Here is a 24712-nt window from a genome sequence, read left to right as displayed (position 1 = left end):
CCAAAATTCCACATCTTTGTGAACATTTGTTGACTGTATGAGACTGAATTCATTACTATACATCTTTCATCAAGTAAGCTCTTTCAATAAGCTTCTTAAGCTGGGGGGTGTCTCATATTCATTTGTACTCCTCATGACACCTGGGCCATATCGTGGGCAGAGCATGTGCTCAGTTATGTGTATTTTATTTGGAAAATTATCTTATGAAAAACAAAGTGGCAGGACTTTCACAGAGTTACTAAAGAAAAGTAATTATATCACTAGGAAACAATTTAAATTCTGTGGAGGAAGGACACTTTGTGGATAAGGCAAAGATTTCTTTGTTTTAGTTGGGTTGTGTAAAAAGAAGAGTAAGAATGTAGTTAAGACAAAGAATGATTTTCAAATGCAAATATTTATCTTAAATTATATAAGTAAAATAATCAAAGTGAAGAAAATTATGAAAAAGGATACCAAAAATCTCCCTAAGTCTTGCCACTTTAACAGAAATATCTTTATAATTTCACACTGTTTCTTTCCAGTATGTCTTCCTGTGCATACAGTTTTTAAGCATAATCATGTTAGGCACAAAGCCGCATATTCTGCCTTTTTTCACCTAGATTTATCTTATAATAATTTTTTCTACATAATACAGTGTTTTAAAAACTATTCTCAGTATCTTACCCTGAAAAAAAATCTACCCTAAAGAGTTGTCCCTCATTTCAACTGACAAAGATACTTTTGGGGGTAGCTTTCAAGATTAGCATCTCTTTGAATGACAAGCTAACATCCTTGAATGACAGTGAGTCACCTCTCAAAGACCCCACTCTTCATTTCTCATTTTTATACTTATAAAACTGATATATTCTTAGTTCTTATCATTTGCCAGGATTCTAACTGGGTTTCTACCGTTAAGAGACAGAAGCTTCATTCATGCATGGATCCAGGGTGGTTTAGGATATTTTTTTTCTCCAAAATAGGACAGCACATCTAATCAACTAAGGTAATTAGTGGGATTATTGTGCAGGGCTATTTACCAACATTTCATTAAGGAAACTCACAGTGATGCTGATATAAAAACAAATGTATTTTTCACATCATATAGCATATAGTAGTAATAACTAAAGACAATAAACTATTCAGTACACCCAGACTCAGATTGAAATAACATCAATAAATCACTAACATAACAGTAAAAACAGTAAATGCATAGTAAGAAATGGAAATGACACAAGGCTCACTATTTGCAGAAGTTGCTGCCATTCTGCAATTTGCAACAGACAGCTCTATTTTAAATAACACAGTCACTAGTGGGGTCACTTGTCTTGACCTTAAGAACCCCTTAGAAATGACAATTTGAATCAAAACTGTGGTTTTTAAAAAGCAGCCATTTTTACAATCATAGATTCCTAGGAAAGGAATAATAAATTGCTCACTCCTCAAAATATTAATAGAACGTAACCAGAAAAAGCCTCAGATGTTCATGAAACATGGGTTTTCGGCATCGCGTTATCCTGTGGTGCTCTGCAATCAATTACTGTTATACCACCATCATTAATAATTTTCTTAATGAAAATGATTCTGTTGATCTCCGTAGTATTTTAATTATCAGAGTTAAGCATAATTACACTGCAGCTCTGAGCTGGCATGTGGACTCCTTTAGGGCGCAATTTTGTTTTAACACACTGATAATGTAATTTTACATTGTGTCAGTTTGTTTGGTTATTATCCAGTTGTACAATTCCACTGTATTCCTGATAACAGATAATAACCTTAGTACCTCCTATATCCTGAAGTCATTTAAAAAGCAATATTGGAATTCTGCGACTAGCTAACTTAATCGCCTTATGATTTTATAATTCCCACTGCTAAATATTTAGTTCGGGCACTCACCCTCTTTCAAGAATACTGTAAAATTAGACAATGGTTATACATTTTCTATGAATTACTGAATAGTTAAATAAATGCGTAAAATATGAACGCAAATTTTTCCTTTTAAATTAGTTTATTATTTATACAACATTATACCCTCTAGGTAAAGTTAAACATTAACTTTTGGGCTACTCTGAAAATTGGCTGCCACATTAGACAAAGCTATTGTTTGAAAATTCTAGTAACATGCAACAGATTATCTATTTTAAGGTGGAACATGGTTCGGACTTTTACAAGAATCTTTGTAATGAAAGACATTTGTTTTGAAAATTTAATTTAGAGAGTGTGCAGAAAGTTACTTACTCAAGCTAAATCATACTAGAATTTCTGTCATTATTTCAATGGTGCCTAGAATAGGCCCTTGGACATAAAGGACATTCAAAAATGGTTAAATTAACTAATTGCATGCTTAAATTCATAAGAACCTTGCAAAATCAGAACTTTGAAGGCTGTCATAGTATGATTTTGAGATTGCTGTGCAGCCGTCTACATGATTTGAAATTGCTGTGGTCTCAGAAACAACAAAGAAATTAGCATAAACTATTGCTGCCACTGCTGTTTTAGTGTTTGAATAATCTCTTTAAAGTCAAGCCAAAGAATGGGAAAAAAAATTGCTGATAAATATGTATGCAAATTTGCAAAGAAAGGCAATAACCTGTAACCTTGGCTTAGTAAATGGCATCTTCCAAAATTTTGTTGATTGTACAATTGGGAATTGAAGTCAACAAGCTTAAGATTGAATCCCAACTTCTTCATTTTAACTTACTTAACCCATCGAAACCTAAATTTATTCATCTGTAAAATGGGAAAAGCACTGTTTCGATATCATGAATTTGTATTGTAAGCAAGAAAATGTACGTAAAGTGATTAGAACAGTGTCTAGAATAGAACAAAGATTAATAAATAGTAATTGCTATTATTAGTATTAATAATATCATCATTTTCATCTTTATACTAGCATTGTATATAAGACTTTCACTAAAATAAAAGTATCACGTGCCCAAGAAAAAAATCCAATGATATGCTCCCAGACAGGCTTCAGGTCTCTAATTCTGTGACACAGATCTCTGCAAATATTCTGTGGGTTCAAAGTGACTGAATAAGACTTGTAGAAGTCTTCGCTATAAATACGATATCACTATATGCTTGATACCAACATGGAGGCCTGGCTTCATTTTCTCTCAGTGTGTACTGACTTATGACCACAAGGACTGCTTGTATGATAATCAGCAACATAATATTGATCATAACCTCTGCAATCATGTAAATGGGTGCTTCACAAAAATCCTGCATGGTAGCCATTGCTATTCCATTTTCACAGCTGAGAAAATCAAGATTAGAGTGGGCAAGTGATTTGTCTAAGGTTACACATGAAATATAGATTTTTATAATAATATTGTGGCTTCGCATATAAAGAAATATTATGTTGTTGAGGTGAGAGTGAGGGTTAGCAGATACTTTTTCACTCTCTTGATTGACAGTGTTTATTCTCTTAATCTGGAGACCTAGAGAATGTGGCTACTTTGAAATAACAACTACAAGAAAATTGAAAAACTAAATAATGTAATTATTCCCGATTTGAAGCTGAGTGATTAAACCCACATGAAAGATGCTAAAGGTGTAATTTTAAATATCCTCAAAACGTAAAATTCTAAGTACACTATTTGTTTTTCATATGAAAAGGTCACCATACTTTGCAAACGGTAGATAGCATATAAGAAGGTAAGGTAAAGAAGTAGATCATCAGTGCTCAACAGACAGTGGATTTTAGGAGTAAGTGGGCAGGCCTTTGCTCACCCTACTCTCCAGCAGAGCTCCTTTTAACTTCAGCATTATGCTTTTTAGTATTTATCCATAGAGATAAGTAAATTAGAATTATCTGGAGTCTGTTGAGAATAATGGCAAAAAACAGACGACCCAACAGGTCTGGTCCATCAATGTCTGGATGACCTAATTACTTTCTGGAATGACAAGGGGTAGGTGAGGCAGGAACAATGTACATCAGATTCGAATGTTAATGCCAACTACTATACTTTTAAAAATTTTTATAAAACAAGATGATGGCAACCTGTCAAAAAGCACTAAGTGATATAATACAATTTTATTTTATAATAATTATTTGATGGACACGCTGACAAGGAGAGATTTATAGTCATATTTAATTTTGTTACTAGCCTACATTTAGGAACACTTTAGGAAGCAAGCATGCCTCCTAGATGGTAATAGTTAAACATTAAATGGGCCTATTTTCACACCATAAGAAAACACTATCAAAAATCTCAGTCAAGGCATTTTTGCAAAATGTCACACATCTGCAATTTATCTTCTATTTGTAAACAGATACTGATATGTTCTCAGATAGCCAGGTCCTATAATAATGATTTGGCATTGAGTTTATAAGTAGTTTAGGTTTTTAGGAAAACAAACAAATAAATACAATTGTGGCATCAGGAATTTAATTTTCATCGTCCATGAGAGCTTTTTAGACTTTAGGAAATAATATGTGATACCTGGGAGCATGGATGTTGGCCCAACAAGCAACCACTCTTTTGTGGCAGCATATCCTTGGTTTTATTTAGGGAACTACCTCTCCTCCATTTCAGTGGCTCATGCAGGGTTAATTTTACTTTTAGGCCCCAGGCTGACTATGGCCTGCCTAGGAGAGTCATAGTGATTAATTGGTTCAGGGAATGGTATGTGATGTGCTCTAATCACAAAACCCAGAAAAGCTCTCTTTTCACCGAAGTTGCTATGCTGGTGGAATAAGTCTGGAGCTTGCCACTACTTATCTGAGAATGATGCCCACACAAGAAAGAAGAGCCAGACGATAGAGAGAGAGAGTTTGGGGACAAAGTTTGAGCAACTGAATCAAGCAGTTCCTGACATCCAGAATATCCCTGGACTCTCAGTTATATGAGCAGATGAACCCATCTACCCCAAAACACACACACACACACAATTTTTTGGCAGAAGCTAATTTCAGTTAGAATTCCACCACTTGAAAACAAAAGAGGCCCAATTAATAAATAATATAGGCATTACGAAAATGCCACAAACATTGTGGAGTTTCAAGTTAACACTTGTTAACCCTTCCATCTTCAAAACGCTTTTGCTTTGAGGAGTCTTATCATACATACAGATTGTGGAGACAGACGACTCCTGAGTCCAGTGTGTTTGGATACGAGTAGGAGTGCCTCCCGGGATCATATTTTCCATGATCCAAACAATCCCTAGTAAAATCCCAGAATATTAAGGTATTGACACAACTTTGGGACATGCTCTGGGTGAGCTGTCTCCTCCCTCTAAAGGCACTCTAAATACTAGAAATTAGTTCCAGGCCTCTGAACCCCAGGTAGAAGATCAAAGAAGAGTCTGGAGCAAAGTAGAGAAATAAAAATATATGTTGAAATGCAAATGATCAGGGTTTTTTGCTTTTGTTTTTTACTGCATAATTCTAGATCATTAATAGCAGCATCCATTGTGAGTTTTCAAGAGGGCTACGATAAATGATATTTGGTCATGGGGCTTTTTCTTTAATCTTAGGGTTCCATGAAATACATTTTGGGAAATGCCACACTTTAATATATATATTTTGTGATTTCTAGGGATAAAAGCCCGAGTGGTTTTGATTGTTACTCATCATTTAACAGTGGCAAAGGGAAAGGCAGAGTCATGTAGTTCAAGGAGCACAAAATTTGGAGCTGTCAAGACGTAGATTGAATTTAGCTCTATTGTTAGCTCTCTATGATCACAGGCAATCATGCCACCTCTCTAAGTCATAGGTGTAAAATGAGAAAATACTATCTATTTCATTGAGTTGTTTTGAAGCTTAATGCAGACAGAACATATTCTAGTATGTATCACTCCAACCCTAAGTTGGACAAATGTATGCTTGATCCCACTCAATCACTTATTAGCCATGTGACCATGGCAAATTATTTACCCTACTTAAGTCTTTTATCTACCTTTGTAAAATGGGGTAGTATGTTGATTATCTCATAGGAGCTATTAAATAAGTATTAAGCTTTAAAAAGCATACGCAGTAGTTATTACAGTTCTGGCATTTGAACTGCAAAACCAATTGTTCTTGTAAGTTGAACGATGCCAAATTACCCTTTACAGGTTAAAACATTATTGAATAGCAGCAATTCATACAGTTCATCATCACAGTATGTGAAATGTCTATTTCAGTGTCTGGCAACCATTCATCATTTGTTCATCTGGTCAACCAATCTATATTTACTTAGTGCTTTTCTTGTACAGGTAGCATGCCAGACCAGGAATAGAAAGGTGACTAAGACACAATCTGTGCCCTCAGTAAATATAGAGTAGATTAAAGAGGCAAGCCATCACAGCTAAACTTTTTTACTTACTCCTTTTTGGACACATAAACTGTATATTCATGATCATGAAACAAGGTAATAGAGAATAATGAGAGAAGCACATACAATTTGGCATGGGAGCATCAAGAAGAGAATTCAAGGTGTGCCCAATAAATGGTGGCTATTATCATCAATGTACAAGGTTAGCACATAGTTGGACTCAATGCATGCTTTACCAGTTAATTAATGAATTAATAAGCTTCTATTAATTACTCTAAGTTGTTTATTGCAAAAAGATATAAGGTATAGCCAACCATAAACACATAAGTTTGCTCAAGTTAGCATACTCCACTAAACATAGAATTCCAATTCTGTTATACAGGTTCACATCCCTAATCAGAAAATCCAAAATCTTTCAGATGGTTCCAAAATCCAAAACCTTTTGATCAACAACATGATGCCGCAAGTGAAATATTCCACAACTGACCTCATGCAATGGGTGGCAGTCAAAACTTAGTTTCATGCACAAAATTATAAAAATATTGTATAGAATTACCATTAGGTTATGTATAATTTGTGTTTATGAAACATAAATGACTTTCACATTTAGACTTGGGTCTCATTTCCAAGATATCTCATTATGTACATGCAAATATTCCAATCTGAAAAAAAATCTGAAATCTGAAACACTCTGGTCCCAAGCAATTTGGATAAGGGATACTCAAAATATATAACAATTATCTCTACTAAAAGAATAGCTGATTTAAAAATGCAATGAATTTGAATCATAAATGGGGACCAGGTATTGCCATGTTTCCCCCATACTATATTGATACAATGAAGATAAAATATTGTACAACAGAAATTTGTCCCCAACAAGTGGTCCTACATTCCAAGGTATCTTTTGTATTCTGAATGTCGGCATTGGTAAACTGATTCCCTATACCATTTCTTTTCACTTTGATAGATTATATTGGCATATCCTGAGAAAATCTCACATCCCTTTTAGCTGAAAGCTCCCACCAGCATACCACAGGTATTCCGGGTTAGAAAATTAGTGGGTATGGGACCAGTAATTATAGAAGGAAAAAAGTATAATCAGATCCTGGTGTGCAGATTGTTTTTTTTTTTTTAGCTTGCAAATTCCCTCTTTCTGGTGTTTCAACTTTCAAAGGCTTATGGTAGTTAAGAGACAATCCTCTTATAAGTGTACAAATTGTAATGATTATAGAACAAGTTGTAATTGTTTCTAGCAAGTTTTTAAGAGTCTTTGATGTTATGATTAGTGTTTTATATGTTAATATATTGATGGGGTGCTTATTTGCTTGTTCCCTTGTATGCTTTTATGGTTTCTAGGTTCAATGTGCAAATACATCTTTGATCTCAGTAGGTCTATTTGGTTTAAAAAGAAAGCCAAGAGAAATTAAACATGAGAAGCACAAGGTTTTGTAATATTTATGAAAAAGTGAGATTAGGGATTATACTGTAAGAGTACAGAGCTAGGACCAAGACTTGAATGTGGAGAAAAGTGCCCCAAAACTACACCACACGTGAGGAAGGTCCTGTGCTATGGACAGTCAGCCCCAGCCCCACAATGTGCCATCATGGAGCTGCTGCTCCTTTGTAGCCAGGGTGCAGCTACATGACACAGTCTGGGTTGATGTCACACTGAGCAAATCAAAGGCAATGCCCTGCAAGTCATCAGCTTCCTCTTTAGAGTTTGCCTCCTGCCCTTCAGAAATCACCATGGGGAAGAATTCTGTCTTTGCAAAGGTTTCATTTCCAGCTATCCTCTCATCATGCATGACTTCAGGAAACTGGCTAGAATGTAGAGCCTCTTGGACCATGCACCTTGACACAAATTGTTAAATTTAGAAGGATTTTACTTTTTGATAGATAATGTCTAAAAGGAGAAATTGGAGTTTCGTCAAACCTGGCTATCAATGATACTAACAGCAAGAGAAAGATATTAGTCAAGCCACTCAAATACAGGGTTAGGTAAATGTATAAGGCACTAAGTAAATTAATGGTATGTCACTTTTTGTTTCATGTTGTACAGAAAAAAAAGAAAAACAGGTGGCTTTACTGAAAATACACATTAGAGGAACTCAAATGGGAAAAAAGGAAGAGGATCAATTTATACTTTGTACTTCCATTCCAGCTCTTCTGGTGCTGTTTTGCAATGCTCAGGTTTTAATACTTCCAAAGAGAGAGGGAAACAATCTTGCATTTACCTTTGCTGTACACAATGCAGTTGTTTTTGTTGTCTTCCACTCCTTGCCAAGTCACATCCAGCAACCACTTGGGACCAGCAGTCAGCACCATTGGGACCTGAGCCTTTGTCTTCTGTAGAAAGAATGATAACAAACAGATGCCATTTGCTTCCGTTGATTAAAAACTTGAATAATAACTGTACTAATCATTTTATTTTTACAAACAACTAAATCTCCCAAACCATAATCCAAGTCCTTATTCCCCTGTCTCATGATATCTTTTTAAGACGACAGAAGCTGTAAAGCTTTACTGCTTTCACTAATCTGAATGGTAGAAATATTATCAAGGATTTTTTTTTTTTCCTAAATGATACTGAATCAGATCTCCAAGATTAGACAGATCTCTTGTGGCTCTGAATTATAAAGAGAATGCAGATGACTTTCATTGCAAAGAGCAGAGTGTTTAGAAGTGAACTTTAGACACATTGTACTTTACTATCAACAGGATCTCACTATTTCCTGAAACAGACAGGAAAGAATTTAAAGAATCAGGATCCATTTCAAAGCTCTGTCCTGAGCAACATTTATATTAGAGTAAGAACTTATTCTGAATGAATAATGAAATCTACCCAACCCCCTAAGTGTGGATATGTAGTCTCACTGTAACTGAAATAATAATAATGCTAATGATGCACCATACATTGTCTCCAGAAAGACTGTAAAAGAGGAATCGTGAATAAATTCAAATGCAGAGCAACTAAAGCATGACATCCCTTGCTCTGAGAACCACAGAAGCACGGAGACAAGTGCTATAATTCTAACAAAGTATTTTTAGTGTACATGTTAAATAGAAGGCTCAAAATAGTCACAGTTTTTGGCTGTTTGGCATCCAAATTATTTATCTGTAAAACTCCGTGGATAAATTTACATGGCTGGAAATAAACTGGGGAGGAAATAAGTATGTCTCAGCAAGACTGTGTTTCCCGATGAGTCACCGTGAACCGGCATTCACTTTTATCGTTCTCCAGTCCATGTTCTGTATATCAAACATCATGAAACCACAACACAGAGCACAATACAAGGGTCTCAAGGTAATTTTTGAACTGAATTTTCACCTAGATATGATCCTGCCAAAGAGATCTCAGCCCATTCTGGGACTTTTCCACATGATGCATGCTATCACAAATTTCCCAAATTGGCCTTAACAAGTATTCACTTGAGGAGTTCCACATAATCTGGTGATTTCAAAACTTTCAGGAATCTGGAAAACCCATTTCACCTGCCTCATGACAACAATGATAGCACATAAAACACTGATCCATTGTTAACTGCAAAGCCGTACTGAAAACTATGCATAAAATGAATGCTGACCCATTTATTAAAATATCAATTATATTACAACTGTTAAAACTACTATAAAATATACTGTTTAATGGAAAAATCAACCATGATGGATTTAAAAAGAAGTCTGAAAAAAAACTACTTCAAATATTAAAACAGAGTATAAACTATAACTAAATCAAGTATAACAAATTCTAATACATTAATCTTTAATATTTATATTTTGATTCATCGTGGAGTCTTAATTTTTCAACTATGTATCTTAATAGTTGGCAAAGATAACCATGAAGCAGTTCTCTAAAAGCCTTGCGAAAAAGATGTAATTTTATATTCTACGTATATTTTAACAATATAGACAAAAATGTTATCAAGTTATCCCTATTGTTATCAGTCTGACGAAGCATTATTTTGTATTTCAATTTTCAAAATAGAATTAGAGGAGAAACAAACTTGTTCTATATGAAATGATAGTGATCCAAATCCAATTAAGTATTAGGTCCTAATGATGCATATTTTGCTCTCCTTTTACTATCAGACTGACAGATAAATCCATAGATCAGGATCTGGTGGTCGGGCGTGGTGGCTCACTCCTACAATCCCAGCACTTTGGGAGGCCGAAGTGGATGACTCACTTGAGGCCAGGAGTTTGAGAGCAGACTGGCCAACATAGTGAAATCCCGTCTCTACTAAAAATACACAAATTAGCCAGGTGTGATGGTGCATGCCCATAATCCCAGCTACTTGGGAGGCTGAGGCAGGAGAATTGCTTCAACCCAGGAGGTGGAGGTTGCAGTGAGCCAAGATCGTGCTACTGTACCCCAGCCAGGGTGACAGGGCTAGACTCTGTCTCAAACAAAACAATACAAAACAAAACAAAACAAAACAAAACAAAACCCCAAAGGATCTGCAGCTCTCCAGGCACAGGCAGAACAAGTCGGAGGAAGGAGTCCACCATTTCAGGAAGCCTATGCAGGGGGCACTCAGTGACTTATTTGTAACATCCACTCTTTTCTGATTTTACATAATCGATTTCAAAACAGGCACCTGGCCTATTTTTCCCAGATTATCTTATTTCACGAAAAATAATTATTTTAAATTATTTAATCAACCTGTTTCATAGTTCTTAAAAATCCTATGAATTTCGACACAGTAAATTAACTTTTATAATAATTTCATAGATAATATAAAAAATAGATAGTGATCACTTACATTCTTTAGAGAATCTTTTAGTATAAAGTAAATCAATTGATTTTCCAAAACCATAATCTTCCATTCATTTCACAAATAAGCAAACTCAATCCTGTGCCTTGTGCTAGGAATATAAGTATGTCTTTTTTGGTGAAGGATACAGATACAATAAAAATGTTTAATATAATGTGAAAAGTACCATGGTAGGAAGTGCTAAGACATGTATCAATTGTTTCGGGGTCAATGAGGAAAAGAGAAAAACTCCCATCCTTTGCAGTCTGGGGACACATCATAGAAGAGGCAACATTCGGGCAGGATTTTAAAGGATAAACAGGAAGAATGTGCAGTTGCTGGAAACAGTGTGGGCAAAGGCTGAACAGTCTATAACAAAGTCAAGTGTGCAGGAAATGGGAGTTCTGGGACTGTGTTTAAAGTTCTTATGAAGCCTTTAGCACTCTTTTTGCTATGTAGAAAGCACTAGAAAAGTATTATCTATCATAATCATCATTAATATTATTGTTATTGATAAATGGAAAGAACGTAATAGCATATGTATCTGGCAGGGCAGGTTATAAACAGATTTTAAAAGACCTTGATGTATTAGGTAAAACTTCTTGTGCTTAATTCTGTAAGCAGAGGGAAGCCAATAAACATTTTTTAGGGAGATGGAATAAGGGTACTACTATTTAGGCTACTTGTGCAAGGATTTTGTTAGGTACTTCCCTTACTTACCTAGTCCTCATGTATATTTTCAGATAAGAAAATTGCAACTGAAAAATTAAATAATATCCCTTAGGTCAAATGCTGGTAGGTGGCAGAGGGCACAGCCAATATTTATATTAGCTTTGTTTCCAAATATTACCACCCCTAGGGTGAACAACCATCCTGGTTTTTCTGGAACTGAAAGGTTTCCCAGGAGGCTGTACTTTCAATGCTAAAATTGAAAAGTCTTGGGCAATTTAGGATGAGTTTTTCCACTCCCCCCTCCCTCCAACCACCACTACTACTACTAAAACAATATTAATGGTTTACTTGTTGGCTATTGAGGTAAGCATTTCACTTGAATGGTCTTTTTTGATTTTTACAACTCCAGAAGTTAGGTACTAACATTTTCTCCATTTTCTACATAAGCAAATTAAGGATTAGATGAACTGATAATATGAGTAAAATATAAAAGTAATCAATTCATGTATTTCCTAATGGTAAGTTAGGCATTATATATTTTAAAACTCTGGCAAACATTTATTTTGCCTGGGTACAAGTAGAATTGGATTTATTAAAAAATTGAGAAAACAATTTATTGTAGTCCAAATCAATAAGGCAGAAGAAAAAAAATGGAGCAAAGACTTGCTGAAAGCTATACCCAAGCTGTAAAGTAAATAATAAGTAGATAAAAAATCTCAAGGGACCAGTTATTACAGCTTTGAGGAGGTAAGTCAATTTCTTTCTGAAGAAGTCAACTTTTGTAGAGATTGACTGACTTCAAAGAAGATTACCAAGTGTGAGAAGGAAGGAGTTAGCCAGGATTATATGAAATCTACACTCCAGAAAAATCCATGAATAGAAAATAACAATAATATCCACATTGATCATTAGGTTCACTTCCCATGTCTCCAACATAAGAATTCATAAAATTCTAGAATGCTAAGAGCTAGAAGCTACTTTAAAGTTCATTAATTCTCAGATATCACAAACAAGGAAAGTCAGGCCAAAATTTTTATCTCATACTCTACAATGGGTACAATTGGCACAACATTTTGGGAAAAGAGAACAGATATAAAAGGTGTGGTAGGCAGGAAAATGGTCTCCCAAAGATGCCTATTTCCTAAACCCCTGGAACCTGTGCATATGCTACCTTACTTGACAAAAGGTATTTCAGAGAGGTGATTAACTTTTTGTACCATGAGATGGTGAGATTATCCTAGACTATCCAGATGGGCCCAGTCTAATCACATAAATCCTTAGAATTAGAAGTGAAAGGCAAGAGTAAATCCAAGAGATTCAACATGAAAAAAATGCCATCTGCTTTTGCTACCTTTAAAGATGGGGGACTGAGAGCAGAAACTAAAGAATGTAGTGGTGTCTAAAAACTGAGAATGGCCTCCAGTTTACAGGAAGCAAGAAACAGGAACTTCAGCTCTACAACATCAAGGTACCAAATGTTGCCAACAATCTGCATGAATGAGCACGAAATGGATTCTCTCCTAGAACCTCCAGAAAGGAATGCATCAGGAAGACTGACACCTTGATTTTAGTCTGGCAAAATCTGTACTCATATTTCTGATCTACAGGATATGAGATAATAAATTTCTGTTGTTTTAAGCCCTCAAGTCTATGGTAGTGTGTTTCAGCAGCAATAGAAAGCTAACACAAAAGATATCCACATTTATTGATTACAGTTAAAACAAAAATAACTAAATTTCTTATCAAATGTGCTCAAAAGTGTGAAATAGCTTCCCGTTAGTTGAAATAACATCAAATATACCTTGTTATTCCACAGTCATTGATCATTTATTTATAAGTCATTATGAAGCAGGATATTTCCCTGACCCCTTCACAGGACTCGCAACAGGGGTGCCCCATTTATTCAGCCTGCTGCTCTCATCTCCTCGCGGGAGGGAGCACATGAGCGAACAAGTATGGGAACTGGAGTGAACAAGCACTGGAACCAGTCAGCCGCTTCAGTGCCAGTGGGACCAAACTCCATTCACTTGGACCTGCTGTTTTCCACCTCTTGCAGGAGTGCACAGGTGAGCAGGTGCAGGAAGCAGCCAGATGCTTTAGTGCCGGCAGGAATGAACTCCATGCAGGCCCCACAGCAGCATACAGGCAGGGGTGACTGTGACTCCCAAAGCCCAAGAGGGCTTGTTACAGTGCTATTTTAGCTCTGCTGTCCGCAGTCAGCTTAACTGTTAACAGTTCAGTGGGTCCTTTGCTTTTTCATGCTACTCATCACCAGCGAGGGCAAAGGGCCAGTGTGACATCCTTTTGTATCCTCACTCGTGGCTCCCAAGCTCTTGTCTGGTGGTCTGGGAAAAATGGGGTTGCATGAACAAATTGAAGGATGGTAAATGCAGGGGATTTTATTGTCTACGAAAGTGGCTCTCAGTGGGAAGGGGAGCTGAAAAGGGGACGGGGTGGGTAGGTAATCTTCCCCTGAAGTCCGACCGTCTCTGGCCAGATTCTTCTCCAAAGTTGCACCATCAAACCATCCCTTTGAAGTCAAGCTGCTTCTCTCCAACATCCAGCCGTAGTCCTGTCTACCAGCTGAGGCTGGGGTTTTTATAGGCATATGATGGGACAGTGTAGGTGGTTGAGGAAAAGGCAACATTTGAGTGGGAAAACAGGGATAGAAGTTCTCACTTTGGGCCACAGTTTCAGGCTTTTTGGCTTGAGGGTGGGGTTTTTGCCAGCGACCCACCCTTTTCTGCCTAGAATTTCTCTGCCTCCTGTTCCCGTCAATTAGAGATACTGTGTTCTTGCTTTAAAATACAAGCAAATACACAATGGTGACTGTAATAATTCCTGCTTATAAAATCAGATACATCATATCCTGAATCATCATTGACTTTACAGTTGAAGTATAACAAAAGGACATTATTGTTTTTGGAGTCACATTTTCTAGGTTTGAATCCTGACACATGCCACTGGTAGCATCTATGACTAGAAAACCACTTAAGTGTTCTGAACTTCAGAATGGACATCAGCACGGTGGGGCTAATTTTTATTTCAGAGGCTTTTGAATGAAGTAACTAGCAAAGTACCTAGTACTCTACAGATGCAGATCAAACTTTTGCTGAATAGCTACATAAATAAATGAAATAAAACACACAAAAAAGCATTTACTGAATCCCACTATTTCTCAGGCTCTGGTCATATTTGTGGTGATTAGCATAGATGTCCAGACAAAAACTTTTTATTATCTAACTGAAAGGTTGTGATAGTCATTATGGCTACTGATCAGTTAGTTCCAACTCTTCAATTTCCAGATCTCTTTTAAAGTTGGATCTGGCCACATGGCTTTGCTTGACCAGTGAAATTGAAGAAGTGGCTTGTGTCACTCCTACACAGAACCCGTAAGATCCAATGGCCAATTCACCATTATGCCTTGCTTTTGCTGAAGCAATCATGGAAACAAAGAGGTGGACTGGCAAACACAGTGGTCAGGGAGTATGAGAAAGAAATGAACTTTTTCAGGTACAAAGCTGTTGTAGTATTAGGGTTGCATACAGCCTCAGCAAAACCTAGCTTATTCTCACTTATACAAAGTTTTTCTCCATTTTTTCCATTTTGAAATATTGAATTTTTACAGGTTCAAGTTTGTATTTTGTCTGTATCTAGGCAGTCTTTTCCAGTAATAAATCAATTCAAGGTACATAACAATAGCCTTGAATTTCACTTAAACTGGAATGTCTTCTTTTTTAAAAAAAAGAAATCTTGTGCACTTTTGAAGCTCCACATTGTACATTTTAAAATTCTACACTCCTGGACACGGTTTGAACCCAGAGTTTCACGTTTAGACAGCCCACAACTAGACAAACTTGACAAGGACAAAATGGGTCAAAAGTGTCATTTCTTAGGAATAATTAAAATCATCTAATGTGGATGAGAGAGGTCAGACTAGCATCCACTTCTCACTAACCTTTAGAGTTACTGGACCGACAAAGGAGGAAGCCTTCAATAAATGTTTATAGTCAAGCCAAAAGGTTAATGGAGATAAAAGTCGACAGCCCAAAGGTAAATAATAGAGGACTAACCCAAGAAACTGGTGACATAATGTTGTCCCAGGGATTCCAAATTTTGCTGGAAAAAAAAGATATTGAGGATTTCCAAAAGGAGGGTTAGAAAGAGCCAAAAGTCATAGGAAAATCTTCCCATGAGATGAGCTTATTTTTACATTACATCCATTTAACAGAAGTGTTATTTGATTAAAAAATTGGCCTCCATTGACTTTAGTTTAGGAAATACAACAAAAATACCATTAGAGAATCTCATGCCAATGCCGTGAGATATAGTTTCATGTTGTTGAAAATGCTTTTGGTGTGTGGCTTCCTTAACTGGGTAACAGATCAAAAGCACTGAGGCCTGTTTGGCTAAATACTGCTCTTTTAAAAATTCATAGCTGTTTATATTCTCTCAGCTATAAAGCATATTTGACAACAGGCCTAGAGGATTTTTAAAATTACTATAGACATTACATTTATATTGTGAGAACCAGAAACACACATACACATACACACACACGCACACACATTTCCTTGCCCTTAGGAATTGTACACCACCACCACTGCCAACCCCCCAACTCCATTATTCCCCACATTTAAATGAAAAAATGGTGCTGTACGCGATTTGACCTTGTACAACCACACAAAATTTTACACAGCAAAAGTTTCAGTTAATGTATCCAAGCAGTTCTCCACCCTGGAATTCAATTCAAATTCAATCTGACAGTCAGGAAAATATTGTATCACTCTCCTTTTAACTATGTGAAATCTCTAGGGACAGTGAATTGAATTTGAAAATTTCCCTTACCAACAGCTATGGGGGCATAACAATTTAAAATCTTGGACTACTTAAGACTGGGGAAAATATGCCCAGGAATAATTCAAGACCTTATACGATTGAATTTTCAGTAATCCTGGCATGGTCTAGAGTCTCAACATTATTAATGTGACTGGAACTATACAACTTTTAGTATGATAAGTTCCACCCAACAAAATAGTGCTTTTTAGTAAATGTCATTTAGTAAGTTAAGCTTTTGAAAGTTAAACCGAGTGAAAGTTTGCACTTGATGCTATTGAGGCAAAAGAGCTTTCTTTCTTTCTTTCCTTCCTTCCTTCCCTCCCTCCCTCTTTCTTTCTTTCTCTTTTTTTTTTTTCCAGAAAATAGAGTGTCATTTTAAACTACATAAACAAAATCATTCCATTCCATGTGATCCTGTAGGGTCAACATTATTGATGTGATATAAAAACAGGTTCTCAGGCTGGGCGTGTAATCCCAGTACTTTGGGAGACTGAGGTTGGTGGATCGCCTGAGGTCAGGAGTTCGAGACCAGCCTGGCCAACATGGTGAAACCCCGTCTCTACTAAAATTACAAAAAACATTAGCCAGGTTTGGTGGTGGGCACCTGTAATCCCAGCTACTTGGGAGGCTGAGGCAGGAGAATGCTTGAACCTGGGAGGCGGAGGTTGCAGTGAGCCGAGATCGCACCACTGCACTCCAGCCTGGGGTATAAGAGTGAAAGTCCAACTGAAAAAAAAAAAAATAGGTTTTCACAGATAACACCTGAATATTCCCCATGACCAGTTAATGTTAAGTACCAAACACAGCGAGCCATGTCACTTGCTTCAATTAAAATCTTGTGATTCTATTGAAAAATGGAGTAAAATGGCCACTGAATTAAATTGGGATGTCCTTTAAGTGAGAGTTGCAAAGTGTGCATGTGTGTATATGTGATTCTATATATAAGGAGATTTCAGCAAGTAACTTAGAAAACTTCCAAACTCCTATTAAAAGAACCTATCTTATTTGTGTTTATTGTTTGGGAAATAACAAAACTCAACTTCTTAAAACATTATCAAAGTTGCATTGCTTGAAAAAAATTATATGCTATACCTACTTTTGAAACTGAAGCTCAATGATATTAAGAATACTCCTAAATTAGAAAATATGTGAAAAGGACAAGTGGGAAAGACATTAGCAACATCCTATAACGAGAACCACTACACTATATAATTAGGCACAGAATAGATTTATGAATGGAGATTCCAGGAAGATTTCATTAAATTAGAGTTTTCTTGGAGCACAGTTCTACAAAATATCCTGTAAGAACAGCATGAGAGTGAAATTCCAGAGAACTTCTGCTAACAAATGTCTTCGAGTAGAATGTGGTATGTGGGATCTCAAATATGATAAGAGACTTTTCAAAAACAAAATGAGTGTGAAATAAAATGATAGAATTCTTGGCTATTATGTCCATACTCCTTATGTCAGACAGTTTTATCTCTATGAACCAAAAATTTAAATAATCATTATCTCTGAGGTATATTTGCTTTTAGTTCTCAAATTGTTGGAACATATTATCTTAACATGAGTCACTGCTTGAATATAGGAATTTCAGCATAAGAAGTAATGATCCTGTTAGAAGAGAAAATACAAATAGTTCTACAGATATGGGCTATTAAAAACAATGTTTGCTTCCAAATATCATTTCATGATATTTTAAAAAATAATATAAAATTATTCTTCAAGATTACTCACTCTAAAGATATAGATATTTCATTTTCAAATGGGAAGAATCTCTAGATGAAAATAAACATCTAAGCTATTCAGATATTTATTATACTTTCATTTTCCAGAAAGAATAGACTCATTTCTCTTTCCCTTTTGCCAACTTCACTCCCACAGCCTCATCTGTTCCCCACATACATTTGGCTCCGAAGAGGAACTACTCCCTCCAAACTGGCAATCATTAACTTCAACCTTTTATTTTATACAGCTCTGAAAGTCACAGGGTGTTTAAGGAGTGTTGTTTTGCTCCTGGCAGAATTTCTGGGCTTGCACCTAGTGCAATGTGCAAAAAGTGTGTCAGTGCTGAATCTCTGGGAAGAGAAAAGTAAATTGCTCTCGAGTACCCCTTCTTACGTAAGGCTGTCACATAAACCTGTGGCAGGGTTCAGGGATCCAGAGAGCTGTGGTACCAGCTGTGTGACCTGAGGCCAGTCACTTAACCTCTGAAGGTCTCAGCTTCCTTCTCTGTTAAGATGACCTCATATGTACTACAGTTTCATAACGATATTATTATAAGACTTTTTACTGTAGAATTCCCATCAAATCTCACTCAAATTCTGAGTATGGAGAAGAAAATATATAGGAAAGCTCAACACATTGAGCTTATACTTACTTAAGGAAGCTTTACTATTTGCATTGGCCAATTGCTAAATAAAGCCATTTTAACTTACTACATTTTGATATTTTAACCCTTTTAGAGAAAGTGATGTGACTAAAATAAAAACGCTAGCCTGAAGAATAAAAGGAGTATCTAACAGAGGTACATACTAACTCAACTGTGAATGCCCTGTTTAAACCACTATAAAAAAAAATACAGTGGTCAATTCTGTTCAACAGTCTGTATTTCAGAATTACCCAAAGGTATTCTGTGGAAGAGAGAAAACACTACCCTGCACAAAGTCATCTTCAGACGCTAAGATGTGTCCATCTTTCATGAATGAATCCACTGAAATATGTAATGAATCTCTCAGTCACCATTCAGGCTGACTTCTTTTTATTACTGTTTCAGCCAATCCTCTGCCAAAAAAGAGGGCAATTCTGAATCCCGATATTAATATAGTAAATTTTAAAAGCAAATATACAATTTTCTTTTAATTATATGTTGTTTTCATGATGTGTATTCTTATATCCATCTACAGACATAAACTATTAACTTGCTTATATCTCGAACTTAAAATATACCTGTTATTACAATATTTGAAGTTAATGGAAGAAGTCTATGGCAAAACTAGAAGAATGGAAATAAGAAGGGGATCCCCCTCCAAAGGGAAAAAGTGTGTGAAATTATTAAACTATATCATAGGTGCTGTGATAACTATAGTATCTTTTGGGAAGGCAGATTTTCTGAGACAAATTATTAAAAGTCAAGTTATTGAAAGTCAGGTGCAAAAAAAATAAAATCTTGGCAAAGTAGTTGGCAAAAGTGTGGAAGTGTTAGAGTAGCTGAACAAAGCTTATCTAATCTGTGAGACATTTTAGTAACAGAAATATTATAAATGTTTAAGTATCTAAAGTAAAACTTCTTCCATCAATTCAAATATTGTAATATCAGGTATATTTTCAGTTCAAAATATAAGCAAGTTAATAGTTTATGTTTATAGATGGGTATAAGAACACACATTATGAAAAGAACATGTAGTTAAAAGAAAAACTGTATATTTGGTTTTAAAATTTACTATATTAATATCAGGATTCAGAACCATAAGAGTGGTTTTCAGTTTTGTTTGTTTTATTTTGTTTTTGTTTTTTCACCAAATCAACAGATGCAGAAGGACTATACTAATTCTGCACTTTTACAGAGTAAAAGCCAAGTGCCCAAGTCACTTGTCTTCATTCTGGAGCCAGGCTGCTTCCTTGCTTTCCTTGGGAGTGACAATGAGAAAAGGACTTCAACCAAACAGATCCACTCAACATGCTCCCAACCCAAAGGACCTTTGTTCAGCATCTCTGTCAGCCTGGGGCAACTAATGGAGCATGCTAAGAAGTCAGAATCAAATGAGATAAACCTTTATTAATAGTGCCCCTGGAAAATGTCTTAAATCTTGTTGTTGCTAGTTTTCTATGGGATGCTCTTTATGAAAGGCAAGATCTCTGTGCTCATTGTAAACCTGAAATTTTATATTAAAATATTTAATTTCTTAATCAGGTAGATTTTGGAGAATATTCTCAGTCATAAGAGAAAATTACATTTTAGTAACTCCTTTCTCAATTCTCTATCCTATCACATTCTTTATAAAAATAATAGAAATACGAATAAAAGCATCAATGCGTATGTTGGAAAGGATTTGTAAATAATGCTAACATGACAAACTGATCAATTAAAAATTGCTGATTGGAAATACCAGTGAGTTAAATTCTACAATTATTTGCATGTGTGTTACACTGAAGTTTGGGCCAAGTTGTTTTATTTATTTATTTATTTTTGCCAGATAAATAATTCTTTTTGTTTTTTTTCTAGATAAATAATATAACCTTATATATAAAATAATTCCAATTAGTAATAACTAATCAGCATTACTTTTGGATTTCTCTATATTGTTTCTATTTTGAAAGTGTTATTTAGGTTATTCTGCTTTTAAAATAATCATTTTACAGGGATGCCCTCTTTCATGTGGTGCAGCACACCGACATGGCACATGTATACCTATGTAACAAACCTGCACATTGTGCACATGCACCCTAGAACTTAAAGTATAATAATAAAAACTAATAATAAAATAATCGTTTTACAATTTTAAAGAAATTAAGGATATTCATTATTCATTCAATAATATTTATAGGTTATCTACTATGTAGAATACTCAAGGATAGAGAGATGAAATATGAGTTACATTTCTTCAAGATGTTCACAACATATTAATAATAAAAATATCTAAATGGCATATACATAGATTGTCAATATTAATAATCAAGCTCATTATATTTTAAGTTTATGATTGGTACATTTGGAAAGTGCAACACATATTTGAGGTCCATGACCAAACACACATATTCAACATAGTGTTGGAAGTTCTGGCCAGGGCAATCAGGCAGGAGAAAGAAATAAAGGGTATTCAATTAGGACAAGAGGAAGTCAAATTGACCCTGTTTGCAGATGACATGATTGTATATTTAGAAAACCCCATAGTCTCAGCCCCAAACCTCCTTAAGCTGATAGGCAACTTCAGCAAAGTCTCACGATACAAAATCAGTGTGCAAAAATCACAAGCATTCCTATACACTAATAACAGACAAACAGAGAGCCAATCATGAGTGAACTCCCATTCACAATTGCTTCAAAGAGAATAAAATACCTAGGAATCCAACTTACAAGGGATGTGAAGGACTCTTCAAGGAGAACTACAAACCACTGCTCAATGAAATAAGAGGACACAAACAAATGGAAGAACATTCCATGCTCATGGATTGGAAGAATCAATATGGTGAAAATAGCCATACTGCCCAAGGTAATTTATAGATTGAATGCCATCCCCATCAAGCTACCAATGACTGTCTTCACAGAATTGGAAGAAAACTACTTTAAATTTCATATGGAACCAAAAAAGAGCCCGCATTTCCAAGATAATCTGCCAAAAGAACAAAGCTGGAGGCATCACGCTACCTGACTTCAAACTATACTACGAGGCTACAGCGACCAAAACAGCATGGTACTGGTACCAAAACAGAGATATAGACCAATGGAACACAACAGAGCCCTCAGAAATAATACCACACATCTACAACCATCTGATCTTTGACAAACCTGACAAAAACAAGAAATGGGGAAAGGATTCCCTATTTAATAAATGGTGCTGGGAAAACTGGCTACCCATATGTAGAAAGCTGAAACTGGATCCCTTCCTTACAATTTATATAAAAATCAATTCAAGATGGATTAAAGACTTAAATGTTAGACCTAAAACCATAAAAAACCTAGAAGAAAACCTAGGCAATACCATTCAGGACATAGACATGGGCAAGGACTTCATGACTAAAACACAAAAGCAATGGCAATAAAAGCCAAAATAGACAAATGGGATCTAATTAAACTAAAGAGCTTCTGCACAACAAAAGAAACTACCATCAGAGTGAACAGACAACCTACAGAATGGGAGAACATTTTTACAATCTGCCCAACTGACAAAGGGCTAATATCCAGAATCTACAAAGAACTTAAACAAATTTACAAGAAAAAATCAAACAACCCCATCAAAAAGTGGGCAAAGGATATGAACAGACACTCCTCAAAAGAAGGCATTTATGCAGCCAACAGACACATGAAAAAATGCTCATCATCACTGGCCATCAGAGAAACGCAAATCAAAACCACAATGAGATACCATCTCACAGCAGTTAGAATGGTGATCATTAAAAAGTCAGGAAACCACAGGTGCTGGAGAGGATGTGGAGAAATAGGAACACTTTTACACTGTTGGTGGGACTGTAAACTAGTTCAACCATTGTGGAAGACAGTGTGGCGATTCCTCAAGGATCTAGAACTAGAAATATCATTTGACCCAGCCATCCCATTACTGGATATATACCCAAAGGATTATAAATCATGCTGTTATAAAGACACATGCACACGTATATTTATTGCAGCACTATTCACAAGACCAAAGACTTGGAGCCAACCCAAATGTCCATCAATGATAGACTGAATTAAGAAAATGTGGCACATATACACCATGGAATACTATGCAGCCATAAAAAAGGATGAGTTCTTGTCCTTTGTAGGGACATGGATGAAGCTGGAAACCACCACTCTCAGGAAACTATTGCAAGGACAGAAAACCAAACACCGCATGTTCTCACTCATAGGTGGGAACTGAACAACAAGAACACTTGGACACTGGGTGGGAAACATCACACTGGGGCCTGTCGCGGGGTGGGGGGAGGCGGGAGGGATAGCATTAGGAGATATACCTAATGTAAATGATGAATTAATAAGTGCAGCACACCAACATGGTACATATATACCTATGTAACAAACCTGCACATTGTGCACATGTACCCTAGAACTTAAAGTATGATTTAAAAAAATTAAAAAATCATAAAATAATCATTTTATAATTTTAAATAAATTAAGTATATTCATTATTTATTCAGTAACATTTATAGGTTATCTACTATGTAGAATATTCAAGAATAGAGAGATGAAATATGAGTTACATTTCTTCAAGATGTTCACAATATATTAATAATAAAAATATCTAAATGACATATACGTAGATTGTCAATATTAATAATCAAGCTCATTATATTTTAAGCTTATGAATGGTACATTTGGAAGGTGCAACACATATTTGATGGTCCATGACCAAACACACATATTTGATGGTCCATGACCAAACAACAACATAGTAATAGATAAGAAGCGGTTAACAGAAAGGATTTTCATGACAAATTGAACCACACTTTAATTTTATAGTTAATAACACTGAGGCCGTCTCCAATTTAAAATAAAAGTCTCTAAAAATATGGCTTATAGCTTTTATAACTATGTTTAAAACCTAATCATAATGATCTTTTATGTGAATATTTTGGTTTAATCCATGCACCTCTGCATCTATTAAACATCATTTTAATATATATTCATTTAATTTCTGACTGCTAAATGAAGTATATCTTAAAAATAAATTGAAAATATATTTTGGGAAATATAACCAAGATGAATATGTATATATCAGTTTTAGCATATATTCATTATCTCAGCATGCCTTATTCATTAATAGTAAAAAGATAGTTTAAAATTTTGTATTTTGGGGGCCAGACTGATTGAATTTATACTGCATCACCATCACTACATAGCTGTATAGCCTTGGGCAAGTTACTTAAGTACTCTGCATCTTACTTGCATCATCTCCAAAATAAAATATAATAAACGCATTTATGTCATAGGGTCATTTTGGTGATTAAATGAGTTAATATATGCAATGTGCTTAAGCAGCACTGGATATGTTATTCCATGTAAGCAAATGCTTGTTTCTAGTATTTCTAAAGAAATGTGTTTCCATAAAAGTACAGAATTCTCAGTAAAACAAGAACTTTGGCTGGCTAGAAAACACATTGCTCTAATATATGATCTATAAGATTTTATTAAGCCATAATGAAGTACTAAAATTCTAGGTGCCACATTACTTTTTTTAATCAATTTTTACAACAATTCTATGAAAGAGATCATTATGCCCATTTTGGAAAGATAAAAACTGAGAGTCTAAAAAGTCAAACAATTTGTCCATATTCACATTGCCAGAAATTGCCTTAGCCATGAACTGCCTTCTATTTTTCTCTTAGCAAATCTATAAGAAACATAATTCTTTCTATGGTGTTAAAGCAATGAGACTCTCCTTAGGAATTGTGTTAAATATCAATTTTTCATGTCCATGAAAACTAGCTTAAATGATCTTCCATGAGTCAGTGGTTAGCAGTTTCTGTTTTACATTATGCATGATTCCTAGCTGCACT

The 24712-nt window shown here is 35.5% G+C and overlaps 1 protein-coding gene across 10 annotated transcripts in view; it reads right to left on the bottom strand.

The window, feature by feature from the left end:
• The window catches only part of ZFPM2 (zinc finger protein, FOG family member 2), a 486102-nt gene that overhangs the window by 161715 nt on the left and 299675 nt on the right, over positions 1–24712 (bottom strand). For all 10 annotated transcript variants that reach the window (NM_012082.4, NM_001362836.2, XM_047421634.1 and 7 more), the window contains one exon: positions 8468–8579. In NM_012082.4, the coding sequence (NP_036214.2) occupies positions 8468–8579 (112 nt within the window). The remainder of the gene's footprint in view (positions 1–8467; positions 8580–24712) is intronic.

The sequence above is a fragment of the Homo sapiens genome, chromosome 8, assembly GCF_000001405.40.
Source record: "Homo sapiens chromosome 8, GRCh38.p14 Primary Assembly".
NCBI lineage: Eukaryota > Metazoa > Chordata > Mammalia > Primates > Hominidae > Homo > Homo sapiens.
This window is presented reverse-complemented; position numbering and strand designations above follow the sequence as displayed.